Source organism: Homo sapiens, chromosome 9, assembly GCF_000001405.40.
Source record: "Homo sapiens chromosome 9, GRCh38.p14 Primary Assembly".
NCBI classification, from domain to species: domain Eukaryota; kingdom Metazoa; phylum Chordata; class Mammalia; order Primates; family Hominidae; genus Homo; species Homo sapiens.
In genome coordinates, this window is record NC_000009.12 from 135,211,568 (window position 1) to 135,230,984 (window position 19,417).

General features: G+C 57.1%; 7 annotated features.

Annotated features, from left to right (window-relative positions):
• Window positions 7,162-7,737: an enhancer, noted in NCBI's record as "H3K27ac-H3K4me1 hESC enhancer chr9:138110575-138111150 (GRCh37/hg19 assembly coordinates)". NCBI's record gives its function as "activates a minimal SCP1, AML or CMV promoter by ChIP-STARR-seq in naive H9 embryonic stem cells {active_cell/tissue: H9 hESC(naive)}" and the evidence as "EXISTENCE:reporter gene assay evidence [ECO:0000049][PMID:30033119]".
• Window positions 7,738-8,313: an enhancer, noted in NCBI's record as "H3K4me1 hESC enhancer chr9:138111151-138111726 (GRCh37/hg19 assembly coordinates)". NCBI's record gives its function as "activates a minimal SCP1, AML or CMV promoter by ChIP-STARR-seq in primed H9 embryonic stem cells {active_cell/tissue: H9 hESC(primed)}" and the evidence as "EXISTENCE:reporter gene assay evidence [ECO:0000049][PMID:30033119]".
• Window positions 8,314-8,888: an enhancer, noted in NCBI's record as "H3K4me1 hESC enhancer chr9:138111727-138112301 (GRCh37/hg19 assembly coordinates)". NCBI's record gives its function as "activates a minimal SCP1, AML or CMV promoter by ChIP-STARR-seq in primed H9 embryonic stem cells {active_cell/tissue: H9 hESC(primed)}" and the evidence as "EXISTENCE:reporter gene assay evidence [ECO:0000049][PMID:30033119]".
• Window positions 10,549-10,618: an enhancer, noted in NCBI's record as "active region_29292". NCBI's record gives its function as "activates an Ori minimal core promoter by ATAC-STARR-seq in GM12878 lymphoblastoid cells {active_cell/tissue: GM12878}" and the evidence as "EXISTENCE:reporter gene assay evidence [ECO:0000049][PMID:35858748]".
• Window positions 11,227-11,804: an enhancer, noted in NCBI's record as "H3K27ac-H3K4me1 hESC enhancer chr9:138114640-138115217 (GRCh37/hg19 assembly coordinates)". NCBI's record gives its function as "activates a minimal SCP1, AML or CMV promoter by ChIP-STARR-seq in primed H9 embryonic stem cells {active_cell/tissue: H9 hESC(primed)}" and the evidence as "EXISTENCE:reporter gene assay evidence [ECO:0000049][PMID:30033119]".
• Window positions 12,384-12,961: an enhancer, noted in NCBI's record as "H3K27ac-H3K4me1 hESC enhancer chr9:138115797-138116374 (GRCh37/hg19 assembly coordinates)". NCBI's record gives its function as "activates a minimal SCP1, AML or CMV promoter by ChIP-STARR-seq in naive and primed H9 embryonic stem cells {active_cell/tissue: H9 hESC(naive and primed)}" and the evidence as "EXISTENCE:reporter gene assay evidence [ECO:0000049][PMID:30033119]".
• Window positions 12,962-13,539: an enhancer, noted in NCBI's record as "H3K27ac-H3K4me1 hESC enhancer chr9:138116375-138116952 (GRCh37/hg19 assembly coordinates)". NCBI's record gives its function as "activates a minimal SCP1, AML or CMV promoter by ChIP-STARR-seq in naive H9 embryonic stem cells {active_cell/tissue: H9 hESC(naive)}" and the evidence as "EXISTENCE:reporter gene assay evidence [ECO:0000049][PMID:30033119]".

Here is a 19,417-nt window from a genome sequence, read left to right on the forward strand (position 1 = left end):
TTTAGAAGTGTCTGCTGTCACTGCCTGGCTTCTCCCTGCTGTCGGCGCCTGCTCTGATCTTGGAGCAAAGTCAGGGCCAAGCCTGAGCACCATAAACAGCAGAGGGAGGCAGACAGATTCTTGGGCAGAAGGGGGCAGGTCCCCAGTGAGACCCCACCTTCAGTCCAGGGAGGGCCTAAAGGCTGGGGGCTGGGCTGCCAGTCCCACAGGCTAGCGTGGGAACTTGTGGTGCCTTTTCTGGGCCCACCCATGGCCACCCATTGACCAATCAGTGCACACTTCCTCCCCTCTGAGGCCCATAAAAGCCCTGGGCTCAGCCAGAGCTGAGCAGACATTGGGATGACCAGCTGCAGAGAGGAGCTATCCTCTGCTGAGAGCTTCAGAGACACACAGAGACATGGGGAATGCCAGCTGCAGAGAGGAACAACCCACTCCAGGGCCTCCTGTTTGCTAGGAGGTGGGCAGACATCAGGACGACCAGCTGCAGAGAGGAGCTACCTTCTCCAGGGCCTCCTCTCTCTCTGCTGAGAGCTGAACACTCAACAGGACGACCTGCCTGCAGAAAGCAGCTACCCACTGTGGGTCTCCTCTGAGCTGTTCTAACACTCATAAAGCTCCTCTTTGTCTTGCTCACTCTCCACTTGTCTGTGTACCTCATTCTTCCTGGAAGCAGAACAAGTGCTTGGGCAAACCCACCACTAGCCACAGAGGTTTCTGGCCAGAAAATTGACACTCCAAAGATCCCATAACAGTATGAGAAGACTAACCTTTGCAAGCTGGCACTTCAGCAGACTTAAGCACCAGTCCCGACAGCAGCTACGTCCAGCCTAGTTATCTGGACTCCCTCATTTTCTGGGAGCCCCCAGCATCCTTTCAATTGGTTCCTTTGTGTGTGTTTGCTGCAGGTGGTGTTCCTGCTTTTGACTCAGAGCTCTGCTGGATGTGAGATGCTGTCGGAGGAGCTCCAAAGGTACCCTCAGCTGTGTGGACAGGGTCGTGGAGGGAGGACAACTCTAAAGACTCACAGCTTCAGAAAAGGCATCCACCGATGCATCCCACACATGCTGTGTGCAGGCACATGACATGGCCTGGAGACCTCAAGGGCCGGGACTCCCGGAGGAAATGCAGCCTGAATGTTTTTGATTCTGAAAAATCATTGACTGGAGAATCCTTGAGGACATAGGCACTGTCTCTGTGTGGCCCAGCCACAGCTTTTTATGCATGGTGAATGACAAAATGTCTTCTCCAAATACAGGCTTTGAGGTGGGGAGGGCCCTGGCTGAGGCTGCAGTTGCCATAGAAAACAAACTGTTTGGGGACCCAATTGCCCTTTCTGGAAGGAGCTGTCACTTTTGTTGGAGAATGAGCTGCCTCTGTTTGGTGGAGGAAGCTGTGCTGAGTGACACCAGGCCTGGGCAGACCTTGACCCTGAGTCCACTGGTTTCTAGTTGTATTTGGCCAATGGGGAGTTCAGGCTGGAGACTGGAGGGAGGGAGGACAGCAGGGTCAGGAAGCATCACCCCTGAGCCCTCCCTGTGGGACACCATGAGTCTGTCCCTCAGGCCAGGTCCCTGTCTAGGCAGACAGCTCTCTGTGTTCCTTCCCAGGTCCTGGGGGTGCCCCCTGCCTTGTGCCTTTGGTAGGGGTGGTGACAGCTCAGCTGCTGCTGGCCTGGGTCCCTGCACTCTCCCGCGCGTGTCGCTTTCTGCCTCCCAAGGGTCTGCAATGGTCCCTTTCCAGGCCTGCCCCTTGCAGGGATTTGAGTGAGCCACCTGCCTCCCGATGGGATGCTGACTGACATGGAATGGGCCCTGAACGAGCTTTGCAGTGAGCAGAGACCTCCTGCCTCCATTCAGGGAACAGAGCCAGGGGCATGGGCAAGGGATGGAGGGGAGGGCAGCTGGGTGAAGAACAAGAGTTGGAAGGGCAGAAATTCCAGGTTAGGGTGGGAAGAGAAGTTGGGTCAGGCAGCAGAGACATTTGGGTGGTAAATTAAGGAGTTTCGACTTCTTCCTGCCAGGGCTGGGAAGCCACTGTCCACATTCCTGGGGGAAGTCAAGTTCCATCTTCAATAGTAAACGTGGCCTTTTGTCCCCAGATAGAAAGTGCCCCCGTATCCGTCATGCCCCAGAAATATATCCATGTGATTCCAGCACCAAGACTCTCCCTCAGAATCCTCCTTAAAATAGCACTCCATGCAGCCGCTGCAAATCCCTCCTGAGAAGCAACAGATAAACCCCCTCCTGGCCGGGTGTGGTTGCTCACGCCTGTAATCTCAGCACTTTGGGATGCCAGGGCAGGCAAATCATTTGAGGTCAGGAGTTCGCAACCAGCCTGGCCAACATGGTGAAACATTGTCTCTATTAAAAATACAAAAGTTAGCCAGGCATGGTGGCGGGCGCCTGTAATCCCAGCTACTCAGGAGAATTGCTTGAACCGGGGAGGCGGAGGTTGCAGTGAGCTGAGATCGCGCCACTGCACTCCAGCCTGGGCGACAAAGCGAGACTCTGTCTCAAAAAAACAAAAACAAAACAAAAACAAAAAAACAGCTCTGCAGTGGTCCCCGTGGTAGCCTGCGTTAGTGGGGCCAGGGCATGCTGAGGCTGCTGGGGTTCGACGTCTAATGCCTAGCATGCTTTCTGGCACAAAATAGGGGCTCGCTAGGATGGATCAGCGGGCCTGGAGAGTTGCCTGGTCCCAGAGGAAGGTGCTGGTGCAGGGCCCACTGCAGGCGGGGAGTAGGGCAGGCCTGCAGCTGCACAGACAAGCACCCTCACCCGGCTCTGCTTCCCAGAAGAATGAGCAGCTATTTAGAGCTTTGGAAGCCCCCCGGGGCAAAGGGCTCTGAGTACTGCTGGGAGTCACTGGCGGTCAGCGAACGTGCTGAGGCCATTTTGCTCCTGACAAATAGAGTCGGCAGCATTGACTGGTGAGCTGCCTGCCGGGGACGTTCAGATCTGGGCAGCATCTTGGGGTGGGAGGAAGCCTGAGGCCGCTGGGTACATTGCCACTCCGGAGAGCTAAATGTCTTCTGTGGCAAATAAAAAGGGCCTTTGGTTGACATGTGGGATGAAGCCAGGAGGACAGGAAATTGGAGCCTTTGGCCTGATCATTTGGGCCCTGAAAAAAAACAAAGTCCCCCCACCCCCATTCCAAGTGTAGAACTGAATGCAGGTCTGGGGGCTCCAGCGTCCTCCAACAGCCCTTTCCTCACCCCAAAACATGCACTCCCTCTCCAATACCACCCCTGATTGTCGTGAGCAGCAGGCTCTGGCCTCCCGGCATTCCTGTTGCCACTCGCAGTGACTTCCCCGGATCCAGCACCTTTTCCAGGCCAGCAGCTGTGTGCCTGACTTACAGTCTTGTTCCCACTGACCCCAGAATCCTGCCGGGTGGGTATCACCCTGCCCCCATTCTACAGAATTGGAAACTGAGGCTCTAAGAGGTTAAACACTGACCTACTGGCCGTGTGCGGTGGCTCATGCCTGTAATCCCAACACTTTGGGAGGCCGAGGCAGGCGGATCACGAGGTCAGGAGATGGAGACCATCCTGGCTAACACGGTGAAACCCCGTCTCTACTAAAAATACAAAAAAATTAGCCGGGCGTGGTGGCAGTCGCCTGTACTCCCAGCTACTAGGGAGGCTGAGGCAGGAGAATGGCGTGGACACGGGAGGTGGAGCTTGCAGTGAGCCGAGATCGCGCCACTGCACTCCAGCCTGGGCGACAGAGCGAGATTCCGTCTCAAAACAAAAACAGAAACAAAACACTGACCTACTGGTATCACTGACCCGTGAGCAACAGAAAAAATCACCCACAGCAACCCCACATTCTAATATCGGGACCCCGTGGGTATTTTACTTTACATGGTAAGGGGGAGTTATGTTTCCAGATGGAATTAAGGTCGCTTGAGAGAGAGAACGTGAGCCCAGGGGGATCATAAGAGTCCTTAAGAGTGGAGGAGAGAGGCAGGCCAGGGAGCGGCAGGGAGACAGCAGCGTGAGGAGGAAGGGTTGCAGGCAGCCTCTGGAAGCTGGAAGCGGACCCTCCCCTGAGCCTCCAGAAGGAGCCAGCCCTGTGGACACCTGGACTGCAGCCCAGTGTGGTTTATTTTGGACTTCTGCCCTGCAGAGCTGTGAGACAACACGTCTGCATCGTTTTCAGCTCTGAACCGAGTGAGGGTTAGCGCAGCAGCCTCAGGACATGCACAGTAGCAGCAAAGCCTGGGCTTGAACCCAGCTCCGTCTGAGTCTGAAGCTTCCTACACACAGGTACCAAGCTCTCTGTGATGCAAGGGAGTGGCCAGAGAGGAGAGGGAGAGAACCCGGGAGCCACAGCAGCCTCGGCGCTTGGCTGAGAGCCCAGCACGAGCCCCAGGTGTTGGAGTTCCCCAGCCTGGGCCTTCCCCCTGTGGTTACTGAGGATGGCACCGAAGCCCGGCTGGACAGGACTCTCCACCTTGGTGGGTCCTGGTCGCCCAAGGCCAGAGACCTGCTGTCCACTCACACTCCCCTCCCACACACACGTCAGGCTCCCCTCAGGAAACTGGCCTCAGTTTCCCCATCAGGAATGATGGTCTCAGACCTACTGATCTCCTGGGTGCTGGAGCCCCCGGCTCAGACCTTTTAATAGGGACAGGGTAGCCCCAAGCAGGGAATACGGCCCCCATGTCAACCTCCACAAGGACGTTACCGCCGGGTTTAGGAGGCCAAGTGCCTGATGTGCTTGCCCTCAGGCCTCTCCTACAATGTGGCCCAAGGAGTAAGGCCAAGGCAGCGTGGGGACTTCGGGCCACTGTCCACCTGTCCACACCCTGGTCATCCTCAGGCCCCCCTGTGGTTATTCTTCTTGTGAGCCACAGACCCTTTTCAGAAGCTACTGAAACTGGTGCCCTGACCCCGGGACCGCACTCTGCACACAGGCTCTGCCTGATTCCAGCTTCCCTTCCCTTGGGGCCCAGGAGCCCCACATCAGGGTCTGGGGAAGAAGCCATGGCTGCCCATGCTGGTAGGTAGCCAGCAAGACACAGTGGCTTAATAGGATCCTAGACTGTGTTGGGGGAGTGTGGGCTGGGAATGGGGTTGCCAGATATATGGCCTGACACCCTGTAGAGTCTGAAGTTCAAATAAACAACAAATCATTGTGTTGATGTAAGTTTGTCCCAAATATTGCACGGGACATAGTTGTACAAAAATATATATATTGTTTCTCTGAAATGCGAATATAACTGGGCATCCAGCACTGTTTGGCATTGTTTTGTTTCGTTCTTGCTAAATCTGGCAGCCCTCGTGGGAAGGAGAGTGAGTGTGAGTGAGGAGGGGGAAGGGGGTGCATCTGGAGCCTGGTTTTCCAGTGACATTTCACAACACAGAGAAAAAGCACTGAAACGTGGGACACATTGGAATCAACACATAGAAGACAAGGAGGAAAACGTGATAAGGTACAGATGGCCTTTCCAATGGCCTAAAAATCTCCCCAAACACACACGATTCGAAGGGCGGCGCGTGCCTTCCGGGGCTGCCTGGTCTTGGCAGGACCTCAGGCTTTTGCAAAAGCACTTAACTCTGCTCCTATCTGTTCTCATGGGAGGTAGCCAGGCCCTACACTTCCAGGCTTGTAAAGCATCATTCAGAGGTGCTGTCAGCTACCAACAGAAATTACTCCCTTCCCCGTGCAGCGTGGCAAATCAGCACGTGCGAGACTTGAAGCCCTTATAAACCTGCCAGCGTCTAAAACACAAATTCAAAAACATTACAGGCAAACCTAACACGTTGAAATTGAAATCCGATACCCAGCCGTCAGCAATCCCACCCCACCGCCAGACGTTAATTACCCCACAGCCATAATGAAATGCCGGGATGCCCGGATGAGCTCTGAAAATACTTTCTGCTTGGCACAAAAGAAGCTGTCGAGGAAGTTTTCGTGTTTTGATTTCTTTCCCGCTCCCTGACTATATTTTAGATGAACCCTTTGAAAACTCACAAATGCGATCTTGTTTTCTGGTGTGTCCTGGCTACTCCCCTCTCATCTCAGCAACCTTCTCCCAGCCTCCCTCCCTCCCTCTCTCCCTTCTTTCCTCCCCTCCTCCTTCTACCTCTGTCTTCCTTTTCTTTCATTGCCCGTATAAACCTAGTTTCTGGGGTACAGTGAAGATAGGCCTTGGAGGTCGGGGAAAGGTACCTGTAACTTGGGATGGTTATTCAGGGGAGATGTGAGTGGTGCCCAGTGACCTCAGCTGCGGCCAGGTCTGCTGCAAGGGCCGGGCTGCCCTGGGCAGATGGGCTGGAGACCTCACCAGGGATTAGATCTGCCTTACCAGTGGCTTCCAGTTACCTGATGACTCTTACCTGCTCTAGGTGGTTTAACGGCAGACCTGCCCCAACCGCCCTGTCCCCTCCCCTAAATATAACCTGGCTCTCAGCTGGCACCCCCAGGCCCTTCCTCCTCCGGGATCATCCAGGGAACTTAGACCCAGATGGCAACACCTACTTCCTGGGGACCTGAAGGAGGTGGAAGCTCACTCCACAGGGGCTCCGGCCCTGGAGCAGCTCCAAGGCTCTGCGGCTCAAGTGACTGAGTGGGAATGTGGGGTTATGGTGTCAGCCCCATTCCTGGGCCAAGAAAGGACAGTGTAGTCATGGACAGTAACTTGCTTCAAAGAGTTAAAAGGGGACCAAGTCCTCCCCGGCTCCTCCGGGGGGTGGTTACTACAGTGACCAAGGGGGCTGCAGTTCCATGCCAGGTGATGCTGCATGAGGCATCTGAAGGGGGAATCGCATATGCTATTTGACACACGTGTGACTTCCCAGTGTGATAATCATTCGTTATTAAAAACGGTGATTGGCAGTACTGCTCTTCACGTAGATTGGCAAATCACGGAATAGACTGTAATGTATTATAGTGACTGGTCATGGTCTGGCCACACTGCAGGCGCCCTGCCCGGGACAGCTGGGAGTGAGGAGTCTGTGGACACTCGGTAGGTGGCACCGCCCTTGGCCATGGGCAAAGCTGGGCGTGAGCAGGATCTGCGGCTGCAGCCCAGCTAAGGGCTAATTTCCCAAAATGTGTGTTTTGCCTCCATGCTTCGAATCCGAGGGAAGCAAAGATAGCTCCCCTGGGAGCTGCTTTTGTTTTAAGGGGAAATTTAATTTAAGACCACGTGACCTGGTTTTGTCATTTGGCTGTGACCCAGAGAAACCGGCTGAGCGGTCGTGGTGTGGGCTGTGGAGTGGGGGCATTCTCAGGCCCTGGCTCTCGCCCTGGCTGCGCCTCTGGAGCTTCCTCTTCCAGGTGTGGGCTGTGGAGTGGAGGCATTCTCAGGCCCTGGCTCTCGCCTCGCTGCACCTCCAGAGCTTCCTCTTCCAGGCAGGCAGTGCGTGGCTCTGATTCGCAGTCTGGCTGGAAAAGCTCCCCAGCCCAGGATGGTTCCATTGCTTGGATTCCTTCTCAGCTCTCACTCACAGCTGCAAGGACTGCCCCTTCTCAGCATGGCCATGAAAAACAATTCTGTGTGATTCTGCCCCCTGCCTGTTTTTCCCCAAACCTGGGGACCCCCGCAGGCAGGAATCCTGCCCCTTTCATCCACCACTGTGTTCCTGGCTTCTACTGCCATGCCCACATATCCTGGCGGAGATTCGAAGTTGCTTTGTTGAATGAGTAAAGGGGGGAATTAACAAACTTCCCTGGCCCCTGTGTTTATGAAATAAGAAAATGTGGCCGGGCACGGTGGCTGACGCCTGTAATCCCAGCACTTTGGGGGGCTGAGACAGGTGGATCACGAGGTCAGGAGATCGAGACCATCCTGGCTAATACGGTGAAACCCCGTCTTTACTAAAAATACAAATAAATTAGCCGGGCGTGGTGGCAGGCGACTGTAGTCCCAGCTACTCGGGAGGCTGAGGCAGGAGAATGGCGTGAACCTGGGAGGAGGAGCTTGCAGTGAGCCGCGATCGCACCACTGCACTCCAGCCTGGACGACGGAGCAAGACTCTGTCTCAAAAAAAAAAAAAAAAGAAAGAAAGAAAGAAAATGTGTGGTTTGATGTCAAGCCCAAAGAACCCAGACCTCAGAGGAAGAAAATCAGAGAGAGAGGTCGAGTCTGTCAAAGATTCCTAATTATTCATCATTTCTGAGCCACTGGTTAGAGGCCAGCCTGGGACACCAAGGGCTCCCCTGAGTCCTTCCCAGGCCTAGGGTACATGGCCTTGTGCATTGTGGAGCAATCAAAGATGCCCAGGTCTCGGCTCAGCATCCCCCTCCAGTAACCTGTCCTGTTTTTCACGCCCACCGAGAAGGCGCAGTGGTCCCATCCCATAATCAGGAAACCCAGGCTCAGAGACTGGGAGCCAGAAGAGCTGGAGGCCACACAGCGGGGAAATGGCAGGGCAGACTGCTGGCCCCAGGACCCAGGCTGAGTCCCCACGCTGTTCCAGCTGCCCCTCACCCAGGCCTGGCGGCACCCCAGCGCCCCTCCTCTTCTCTGCCCGACATCCAGGCCCAAAACCATGGGAAAGGGGCTCCTTTCACTGCCACACCTAGAACTTAGAAAACAAAACCAGCCCGAAGCTCGGTAAGTCGGCATCCACGGAACATTCACCGCTTACCCAAAAGGTGGTGCCGCACCCCGAAAAGTGTGAAATTGGCCCTCGGGAATGAATGAATGAGTGAATGAATGAATGACTTTCCCCATCTGCCACCATGAGTGACTGGAGAGAGCCCAGGTCCCACAGACTGATGTCCACACTCTGCGCATGGCATATGGGAGCAGAAAAGCCATGAAACAGGGTGGATTCCCTGCAGATTTCAGCCTCTGCGGGGAAGGGGGCAGTACCGAGACACAGGCCCTCTGACCCACCCTCAGGAGCCACCATCCCAGCACCTGAGGGTCCTGAGATAGCCCCTGTCTGCCATTGGATGCCAGTTCCCCATGCTCTGACCAGGGCATCCTAAAGGCCACAGCCAGAATCATTCCTGGGTCTGGAAGGTCCACCTGGGGGGCGGAGCTGGAGGTGAGGGCAGGTGGACAGCAGGGCTGCTGGGGGCGATCTTAGCTGCCTCCATGGGCCCTTCTTATGGGCTACTGATGGAATGGTGGGGAGCAAATCCGCAGCTGGCCCAGATCCAGCACCACTGGACCCAAACCTGTCACCTGCTGCGAGTGAGGAAGGAGGAGGATCTACTGCCTCTGTTTCCCCTGGTTGCTCAGTCCACAGGGTACAGACGCGAGGTGTCTGAGCTGGAAGGTGATGTCCGGAGCCCCAGTCCAACACCTCGTGGACCTGGGTCAACCTGGCTCAGCCTCTACGAGCTGTGAGGCCACCGGGAAGTCTCTGACCCTCTCTGGACCTGGCTTTGTATCTGAAACGAAAAGCACAGCTCTCTCGCGGGCTGGCAGAGGAGGTGCCGTCCTGAGCTGGCACCTGGCTTCCATGCATTCTCCCGTGGAAGAAGAATGGCACCAGGCAGGGCAGAGACGTGGGAGCTGTAACTCGAGCAGGATGGCCCTGGGCCTTCCGGGAGCCCACCCTCGTGGTGGAAAGCACTCCAGGCACCCACACACCGGAGGGAGATCTGGGGCTTCCTGTGTGGGGTGCGGCCCACCCCCAAAAGGCAGTGCAGGAAGGCCCCTTGGAACTGAAATCTGCAAGAGGTGCTGAGCTGAGAGGACACAGCGGGCAATCCCCGGCGGGTGAGCTGGGGTGGGAATGGTGTCTGTGAAGCCCACAGTAGGAGGGCACCTGGACCACTGGGGGACCACAAGGGTGGGAGAATGGCCAGGGCCGTGGTGGGCAGTGATGGCACGGGCCTTGAGGCCAGCGAGGATCTGGCCTCTGTCAGGACAGCCAGGCCTGCTGAGGAGGGACGGATGTTAGGTGCCCAAAGATGGCGTGCCTGTGGCTGCAGCCATGTTACAGACCCTTGGTGTGTCTCCAAGTGGAGATTGTGACTCAGCCTCCAAGGGTGACCATGGGGATTAATGAAATCCCTGTGGAAGGGGCCCAGTCACTACTGGCTTTGGCACAAGTCCAGTGGGGACAGTGGGTCTGGCTGTGGACAGTCAAAACCCTGGAAACAGGTGTCCTAGGCTCGAATCCCAGCTCTTCCCCTTGTTGGCTGTTGCCCCTTGGGCCACGTCCCTGACCTCTCTGAGCCCGGAAATAACAATAGCTCCTCCCGCCCGGGGTGGGTGTGAGAACTGAATCAGTAGGTGGAAACGCACTGAGGAAGCCTCAATACATATTGCTATTCTTGTACCTGTTGTTTGAAACCCACCCGGCCTGTGTGACACAAGCATTCCTGCCCTGGGAGGCGAGGGAGGACTTTGGAGGAGGCACCTTGCTCCCTCCAGACACACTGATGGCTCCTGGGACCGGGTCTCACTCCATGTGTGGGGGGCCCTGGAGCCAGAACCCAGGGAGTCTGTGGGCGTCAGACTGTCCTTGCACTGCCCTGGGCTGTGCTCTCCCTCCCCCAGTTGGGACGCCGGAGCTTCGGCCCTGGGCCTTACAAGGCTGACCCTGGAACTAGGCTTGGAGGAGAAAGCCAGACCCTCCCCAGGAGAGCGCTGACCCTAATGTTTGGTGGGACACAGACAGCCCTGAGGCACCGGCAGCTCGCAGGGAGCAGATGCGGGGCCACCAGCCACCAGCAGGGGTGGCAGAGGGGCTGACTCGCCCAGTCCTTCCCATCCTGCCCCCTCTCCTGGGGGCACGAGGTGAGCATTCCCAGGGGAGATGCCCCAGACCACTCCAGGGCCAGGTGTGGTGGGGAATTCCAGCCCTCACTCCACAGCAGCCTGGGAGTCAGGCTGTCTCCTAGGTTACCGCCACAAGGTGCACCTGAGTAGCCCTGCCTCCCACAGGGCCAGGCCTCCTGCAGGGAGCGAGGTTCCAGCCACAGTACTGGGCCCCTGGGGGCCACTGGCCTGAGACAGGAAACAAGTTAGCGTCCGTGCTGCTAGGGAGGCGAGGCCTGGCCTAGCAGGGGCTTCCGGTGCTGAGGCTGCTCAGCCCAGCCACCCCATCCACCACAGCTCAGCTGAGAAGCTGCATCTCTGGCAGTTGCAGAGCAAAAGGCCCCAGAAATGCGGCAAGGACTCAGCCTCCCCTCCTCCCAGAAGGAAAGGCACAGCGGCCCTGAAACACAATCGTCCCCAGCACCTGGCTTCCTCATCTTAATGGATAGGAGGCATTTTTGTAGCAATAAAAATAGATTTAACAACCAGACAGTGAAATTACTTTTTTTTTAGGAAAAAAAAAAAAACAAGGTAGTAAATATTCATTGATGTTCCCTGTGAGATGGCTGGGGTCATGTTTTGGAAATAGATTACAACACATATGCGTCTGCGCTCACAGCACGCGGCCATCCAGAGGCGCACATCCATCCATCCGCTTATTGGAAGCAGGGGCCTCCGTCTGAGCCGCACATGATCTCACCGCTCCCTGACACAGGGCCCTTCTTACTAAGCCACAGTGGGATGAGTACAAGCTCCTGGGTGGCAAAGCATGGCAGAAGGCGCTAGAGGAGGGAGGGTCTGGGTGGCTGCTGGGGTCTGGGGGCCACAACCGCTGTGGGCTGGGGTCCCCGAGTCAGACTTCCCTCCATTTGGTGAGTGAAGGAAGCAGCCAACGGCAACAGGCCCCCACCCCAACCCAGGGACCTCCCGAAGGCAGGCCCTGGCTTGAGGCCCCCTTAGGCAAGGATTCCAGAGCCTAAATTGCAAGAAGAGAAAAAGCCGTCTCCAAGCCCTGCCTGCCGAGACCACGATGTCTCATCCCTGGGGAAAATGCAGGCGCTGTGTCTGTGATTTGCATTTTCAATCATTCAGCAAATCTGCCTCAAGCCCCTCCGAGGTGTGAGCACTGTGAGAGATACCTGGGTAGGAAAGCAGGGGCCCTGGTCGCTGGGAACCCAGAGTCCAGCTGGGGCCCTCGGGCAGAGTGAGTGCGGCCAGAGGTGGACAGGACACACAGAAGGGCGTGTGCAGGAGGGCCAGAGGTGGACAGGACGCAGAGAAGGGCGTATGCAGGAGGGCCAGCGTGCGTGGGCTTTACCCTGAAACAATGGGGAGCCACAGAAGGTGTTGGAGGAGCAGGGGAGTGAGAGGGAGGGGTGCTCATTTGCAAAGATTATTCCTGTAAGTCCGGGGGTAGGAGTGGGGGTGGGGGAGCAGCCTGGAGGGCGGTGCAGACCCGAGCAAGCAGGGAGGCACTAATGAAGGAGTCACCCCAGGGGGGCTTCAGGGGTGGGACCCTTCTCTGAAAGTCTCCTGAGGGAAGACACGAACTGGCCTTCTGGGCTCTTCCAGCGTGAGCTGGGCCCCAGGAGGAGGTTCTTTCCTCATTAGGGCTTGTAACTAAGCGACGAAGCAGCAACCAGGCTACGGAGAAGATTCTGGGTGTGGAGGGGCCTAGCCACAGTCCCCGCCTTCAGGACAGCACACCCTGATGGCTCCACCCCGGGAGCAGGGCATACTGGTCCTGAGGGCACCCTCTGGTCCTGGGCTGTGTCTGCCTCCGTCTTGGGCACCCCAGGCCTCCCACCCGCCTATGGGCACCCTGGCTCCAGGCGTGGGGCTTTCTGATGCCCTGTGCCCACACTAGTAGGTCTCCACCCTGTCTCTTAGAACATTAAATATCCTACAAAGCCAGCGTGTGACTGCTACCTGTGCAGATCATACTCCCCGACCCTTCCCAAGGGGGAGCACGGTGGCCAGGCCCCAGCTACCTGTCCAGATCATACTCCCCGACCCTTCCCAAGGGGGAGCACGGTGGCCAGGCCCCAGCTACCTGTCCAGATCCTACTCCCCGACCCTTCCCAAGGGGGAGCACGGTGGCCAGGCCCCAGCTACCTGTCCAGATCATACTCCCGACCCTTCCCAAGGGGGAGCACGGTGGCCAGGCCCCAGCTACCTGTCCAGATCATACTCCCCGACCCTTCCCAAGGGGGAGGACGGTGGCCAGGCCCCAGCTACCTGTCCAGATCTTACTCCCCCACCCTTCTCAAAGGGGAGCACGGTGGCCAGGCCCCAGATCACAGGCCAGACTGTCGGGTTGAGCCAACTCACACTCCCTGGGTGCTTGGCACAGGTAGCACTAAATGTCATTGCTCTGCCAAATTCAACAGCAAGGGGCGCGGAGGCATGTGGGGAGCCCCTCCCTGTCAGGGACTGCTGTGTTGCACAACTCCAAAGAGGGCCAGCCACAGAGAAGGAAACATGAGCAGAGGCCCTCAGAGTTAGCAGTAAGGTATTCCTGCTCTTCTTACAAAAACCCTGGGGGCAATATTTATCCACCCTATTTGCAGTCCATATGGTGGTCCTGCAGCTGCAGACTAGCCTAGTGGGGCTCGCACTCAGGGGCGGAGCTTACCCCAGAACCCACATGTCCATGAGCCCACTCTGTTCCTGCCTCCTCCTGGCAGAACCCCACCCCCTGCAGAGCCCCCACTCTGAGGACAGCGCCTCATGCCTTTTGCCTCCGGCCCTGCTCTAGCCCCGCAGCGGTCCCCAGCCCCGTTCCAGGCATGAACCAGGCCCAGGATCTGCTTAATTCAAGCCCCCAGGGAGCTGCGTCCCCACCTGTGCTCTCCAGCCACCGCAGCCTTTGTCAGGGAGCAAACGGTGCAGGCTGGCAGGCGGTGGTTTTGTTTTAAGACCAGCCAGCGCCCAGCTCCTCTGGAGCGCACTGAATAAATTTCCCTTTATTAGACACAGACTTTCCCATTACCGCGTCTTCCCCTCATTATTCCTGCATCAGCTCGGGCATAATGGGCTCCAGCCCTCTCTGCAGTCAGGAGCCTGGTCCCTCAAGGATGCTGTCAGACACGGCGTCGGGCAGACACGGCGGCAATGGGCAGGCGCTGGGTGGGCACACCTGCTCTTCCTCACACATCAGCCCATGCACCCCCCACGAGGCTTGGGCCCCTCGAGCTTGGTTTACAGTGGAAAGAAAGAGATGGAGCTGCAGGGTGAGCTCTGCACAGTAGGGTAGGGGCAGGAAAGGAAACGGGAGCTGCTGGCTGACAAGGCCTTCTACACACTTCCGAGGGCCTGGCACGCTCACATGCACACCCACACCCACGTGCACTCACACACACACACATGCACCTACTTATGGGCACACTCACCCGTACACACATGCTCACACACCCACATACACTCACACACACACACTGACATGCACATATGTGCTCACACACCCACACACGCTCACATACACTCATACACACACTTGTATGCACACTCACCCACACACACGCTCACACATCTACATGCGCTCACACACATGCACACACTCATGCACACTCACACACATGCTCACACCCACATACACACACACTCACACACCTATGCACGCTCACCCGTGCACACATGCTCACACCCACGTGCTCACACACTCACAGATACACACATGCACACTCATATACACATCCACATGCACATACATGCTCACACACATGTGCTCACACACAAACACATGCACACACACATGCTCACACACCCACATGCACTCACAGTCACACACATTCACACATGCACTCACACCCACACTCATCTTCACACGCATACACAGATACCCACACATGCTCACACATGCATAGTCAGGTATACTCACATACACACGTACATACACACATGTACACACATATGCACTCACACAATCACATCCACGTTCACACTCTCACAAGCACACACATGCACACCCACATACATTCACACACGCACACAAAATACCTGCACTCACACATGCACTCACATACACACACATTCACAGATTCTCACACTGCTGAACAGTCACACACATTCACATACACACATGCTCACTCACATGCACACATGCACACTCACAGATGCACACTCACACACATTCACATGCACACACAAATGCATACCCACAGGCACACCCACACATTCACACACACATCCACACCCATGCTCACACATGCACACTCACATGCATTCAATCACACACACCATTGCACACACATTCACACACACCAATGCACACTCACACACCAATGCACACTCACACGCACACACATTCACACACCAATGCACACTCACACATTCACACACACCAATGCACACTCACACATTCACACACACCAATGCAACTCACACACATTCACACACCAATGCACACTCACATGCGCACACACACTCATGCACATTCACACACACACACATGCCCTCTCTCTCCTGCAGAACCACCTCCTTCCCTAGACCACTTGGCCCTCGGGCTGGGTTCAAGACCCTCTACCATCCTTGTGCAGCCCCTGGTCCCCACCAGAGCCCCCTGTGTCCTAGAGGGCGATGTCCCGAGTTCTGGTGTGACTGGGCCTCTGACCTGCTCTGTGTCCTGGGCCTCAGTCTCCTCTACTGCCCTGTGGGATGGGGGTGAAGCCCAGGGTCTCCAGGCCTACCCTTGCTCCCACCAGGCTTCCTGTTGCCCATCACCCTGCACCACTCTGCCTTCCTCACCAACCACCCATGCCTGCCTCTTCCCATCAACCCAAATCTGGACCCACAAGGCTTCTGCATGGCTCTCTGGCTCAGCCTCTGCAAGGGTCGTGAGGCTGGGGTGCTATCCCAGCCCTGCTGCCCACCCGCTAGTGCCTCCTCCTCCCTGGGCCTGGGATCTGGACGTTGGTACCTCCTTTATTCTTTTTGAAGCTTCTCCAGTTTGAGGTCAGGATCCTGGGAACAGGCTGCATTTGGTGGGGAAGAATCTGCCTCAGCAGCTCTGCCCACAGCCAACAGAAGGGGCTTCAACCTGCAGGATCCAGCCAAGATCAGGGCAGGAAAGGGAGGCTGTGGGACCCACAGCCTCCCAGCCTCAAGCAGCCCATGGCCCACAGCCCCGAGCTGACCCCCACTGGCCCCTACTCGGCCCCAGAGCATCTGATGACGCCTAATGTTGCATCTGCACTGTCAGCTGAGCTTGTTGGTAGCCTGGCAAGGCTCAAGACCCCGAGAATCCACTGAGAGTCAGCCAGAGACACAGCAGGGCAGACATAAGACAAGAGGCGTATGGCCCTCTGCAGCCTCCTGGCTCAGGCTCTGGGACCTCTGGGGCCCCCCAGGAGGGAAGTGGGAGCCACAACAGCTGCAGAGCCACCCTGCGTCCACCTGCCCTCTCAGGGCAATTTGCAGCCCACTTTCTCACTCTGCAAAGAACGGAGCCTGGGCACCGCACCTGAGTGTCAGAGAATGGGCAACACAGCGTCCACCCTCAGAGGAGGAAAGGCCAAGGTGGGCTCTGCCCTAGGACCCCCTCTCCGCCTGTCCTCCTTCAGCCCCGCCCCTGTCCACTCAATCCCTCACCTGAATATCCCCCCGTCAGTGCTGACACCCCAGCAGGGCAGCCAGGGCGAGAGCAGCGTGCAGGCAGAGGGGTCGTAGCCCGTGCACCAGGGGCTCCCTCACCTCCCGTGGGGCAGGGGCTGCAGATGAGACAGGGAGGTCAGGAGAGGGGCAATTAAGCGGAGACCCCAGTGACAGGGAAGAGCAAACCATGAGGGTAGTAGGGGCACGGCATGTCGACCAAGAGCCCAGCTGTGCAAAGGCCCTGAGGCAGCCGTGAGCATGGGTGGTTGGTGAGGAAGGCAGAGTGATGCAGGGTGATGGGCAACAGGAAGCCTGGTGGGAGCACGTGTGCAGGGGTCCATCCAGGAGTCCAATGTCATGCTCACAGCAGTCTGGAGGGCCCCAGCCCCACTATCGAAGGAGGTCACCCGCTAACTTCTCCCAAGACAGGGAGCTGAGCAGTCAGCACTTGTCTTGCCTGACCTTTTAGAATTCTTCTTAATAAAGAAGACGGGGTAGCAACCAGCACATCGAAAGGAAAGTCCTTTTCCTTCTCCCAGCTGTGGGGTCAGCCAGGGGAGGGAGGGAAGACGCCTTTGAAGCGGGCAGGCCCACTCTGAAAAGGAGCCAGAGAGCAGAGGAGGTGCTTTCCCTTTTCTTTCCTGGGAGAAAGTGCACCTGTCATCTCCTTGTGCAATTCTGAAGATCATCAACCTTCACCCTCGGGACCGACAAATTCTTTATAGGACAGAGTGGGTGGGAAGACAGGGTGCGTGGGGAGGGTGGGCAGATAGGGAACAGCTCAGAAAGGAACTGAGCCTTGCTCCTCTCCTCAGGGCAGGGAGGACAGCCAGGGACGCAGGGATCCATCGTGGCCGAGCAATAGTGACTCAGCTGTCAGGGGCTCCAGGCTGGGGTCCTGCCCTGGCACACTGTGGGGGACCTAAAATCACGAGCCTGGGCTTTGCTCTCACCTGCAGGAGGCCGGCCGGGTCCCCGTGTTTCAGGTGGGGCTCCTGCAGCATCAAGCGCTCATGGGGCCACCTCCGGGACCTGCCTCCGATGGCCACCAGGTAGCGTGGCCAAAAGTAAGAGCAAACCCCACTGTGCAACTGGACACTGTTTCTAGCCAGTCAGCTGTTTGGTGTCATCCTCCAATACAAAGTTCAGGAAAAAGCACCCACGGGCCTGGATTCCATACCAGCCTGCTGGGTGCTGGACTCCACACCGGCCTGATGGATGCTGGACTCCACACTGGCCTGCTGGATGGCGCAGGCAGCCCGCCTCCTCTGCCACAGGTGCCCCCACCAGCTGGGGCTCTGCTCTGCTGCTCCAGAGTGAGAGGAAAAGCCCAAGGACCCCTAGGGTCTACCAAGCCAGAGGAGCGACGAGCTCCAGGCAGGTCTTGGGTGGCCTCAGTTTCCCCGTGAGCCCTTGCAGGAGCCAATGCCACTTTGGATATGACAGCAGCCACTCTGCCCTGGGAGGAGCAGGATGTCCTGACTACAGACACACGCAGGGGCACAGGCATGATGAGAAGCCCCATGTGGAGCCTCTGGCCCCATTCCCTGCGGGAGGAGGGGCCTGGGGCCATAGCTGCTGTTGAAAGAGGACAGACCGTGTGGGCGCCCCGCTGCCTCTAAACCCTCAAGAGTCTGCACGCTGGCATTCCTGACTCCAGATGGGCAAGCGAGGGCAGACAGGGCAGGTGGGAGGCCCCAGGTCCCAAGGAGGGAGAGGCAGACCCAGGTCTGCATCCCAGGAGCACCGTCCCTCCACCTGTCTCCATGTTGAGGTTAAGTTGGGCAAAGTGAGTGAGCATCAAGCTGTCACTGCTCTCTTTCCCTCTGCCAGCCCCTCTCCAGAGTCGTGTCTGGTCCCTTTGTCCTTTCCTGTCCTCAGTTCCCTTGGGAGATGGAGACCCCTCCTGGCTGTTGTGAACTGACATTTGACCTGGGGCCGCCTCCCTCCCACCGTGCGCACACCCTGGTCTTGCAGCCACCTTGCTTCCTCCCAGCTGCACAGCTCACGTCCACCCCAGGACTGCTCTCTGCTAATATGCTGTCCCTGATACTCTCAGGGTTTCTTCTCTCAGGTCATCTAGGTCTCTGCTTCCCCGCGCCTCTCAGAGTCAATCAAGTGGTTTCCCTTGTGTAAACCAGGAGCAGGCAGTGGGAATGTTCACCAGGGCCTCCTGGCCACCAGCTGGGAGGAAGGCACTGGAAGTGAACGCATGCCCCTGCGTGGATGCCCATGGCCCGGCCCAACTCCAGGCATTTTTTTCCCCCAGGAATCCCAGGATGGGACCTGAGGCGGGTGGAGCACTCTCTGGGCTTTCAAAGATGCACCACGACTCAGCTTCTGCCGTATTCTCCCCTGCCACGCAGCCACCAAGGGGCATCTTCCTTGCAGACCATCCATGTCACTGTGAGCAGGTGACATGCATAAGTCACCCTGAGACCCCACAGGCCCCTGGAGCGGGTGCCCGGGGAGACACAATGAGATAAGCTGCAGCTTTGCTCATCCAGATGCTCTCCCTGCCTGGAGAAGTGTGAAGGGTCTGCACTGCCTGAGTGGTGCCATGCTTCAGGGGAAGAGAAGGTGCAGACCAGCAAGGCCGTCTCACCTTAACTGTTCACTCCACAGGTGTGTGCCGCCAGACCCCTCTGCGCAGGGGCTACACTCAGAGGTCCCAAGCCCTGTCCTTAGGGGACTCACCATCTGCGAAGGACAGACCATGGGACAGGAGCTCCGTGTGTCACACATCAGTGGGACTCATCCCTCCCCAGCGTGACAGCCACCCATCGGTGTGCAAGGCCCCAGCCACTCCTAATGCACTGGCTGGAAAATGCCCCTCCTACCCCACCCCACAAAGCATTTGGGGTGACAAGCAACAGAGACTGAAGCTATTGGAGGGGTCACCGCCAATCTGCTGGGGGTTCCTCATGAAAATGTACAGGTTTTAATTGAGATGATGGGCTGAGAAAATGCATGTGCTTTTCTTCCCTCCCAAAATTCCATCAGAGAGAAACTGATTTCGAAACAATAAATCTGAACTTTCTTACACTTCCGGCCATGATAGAATAACAGAGACAGGATTAATGCTCTTGCC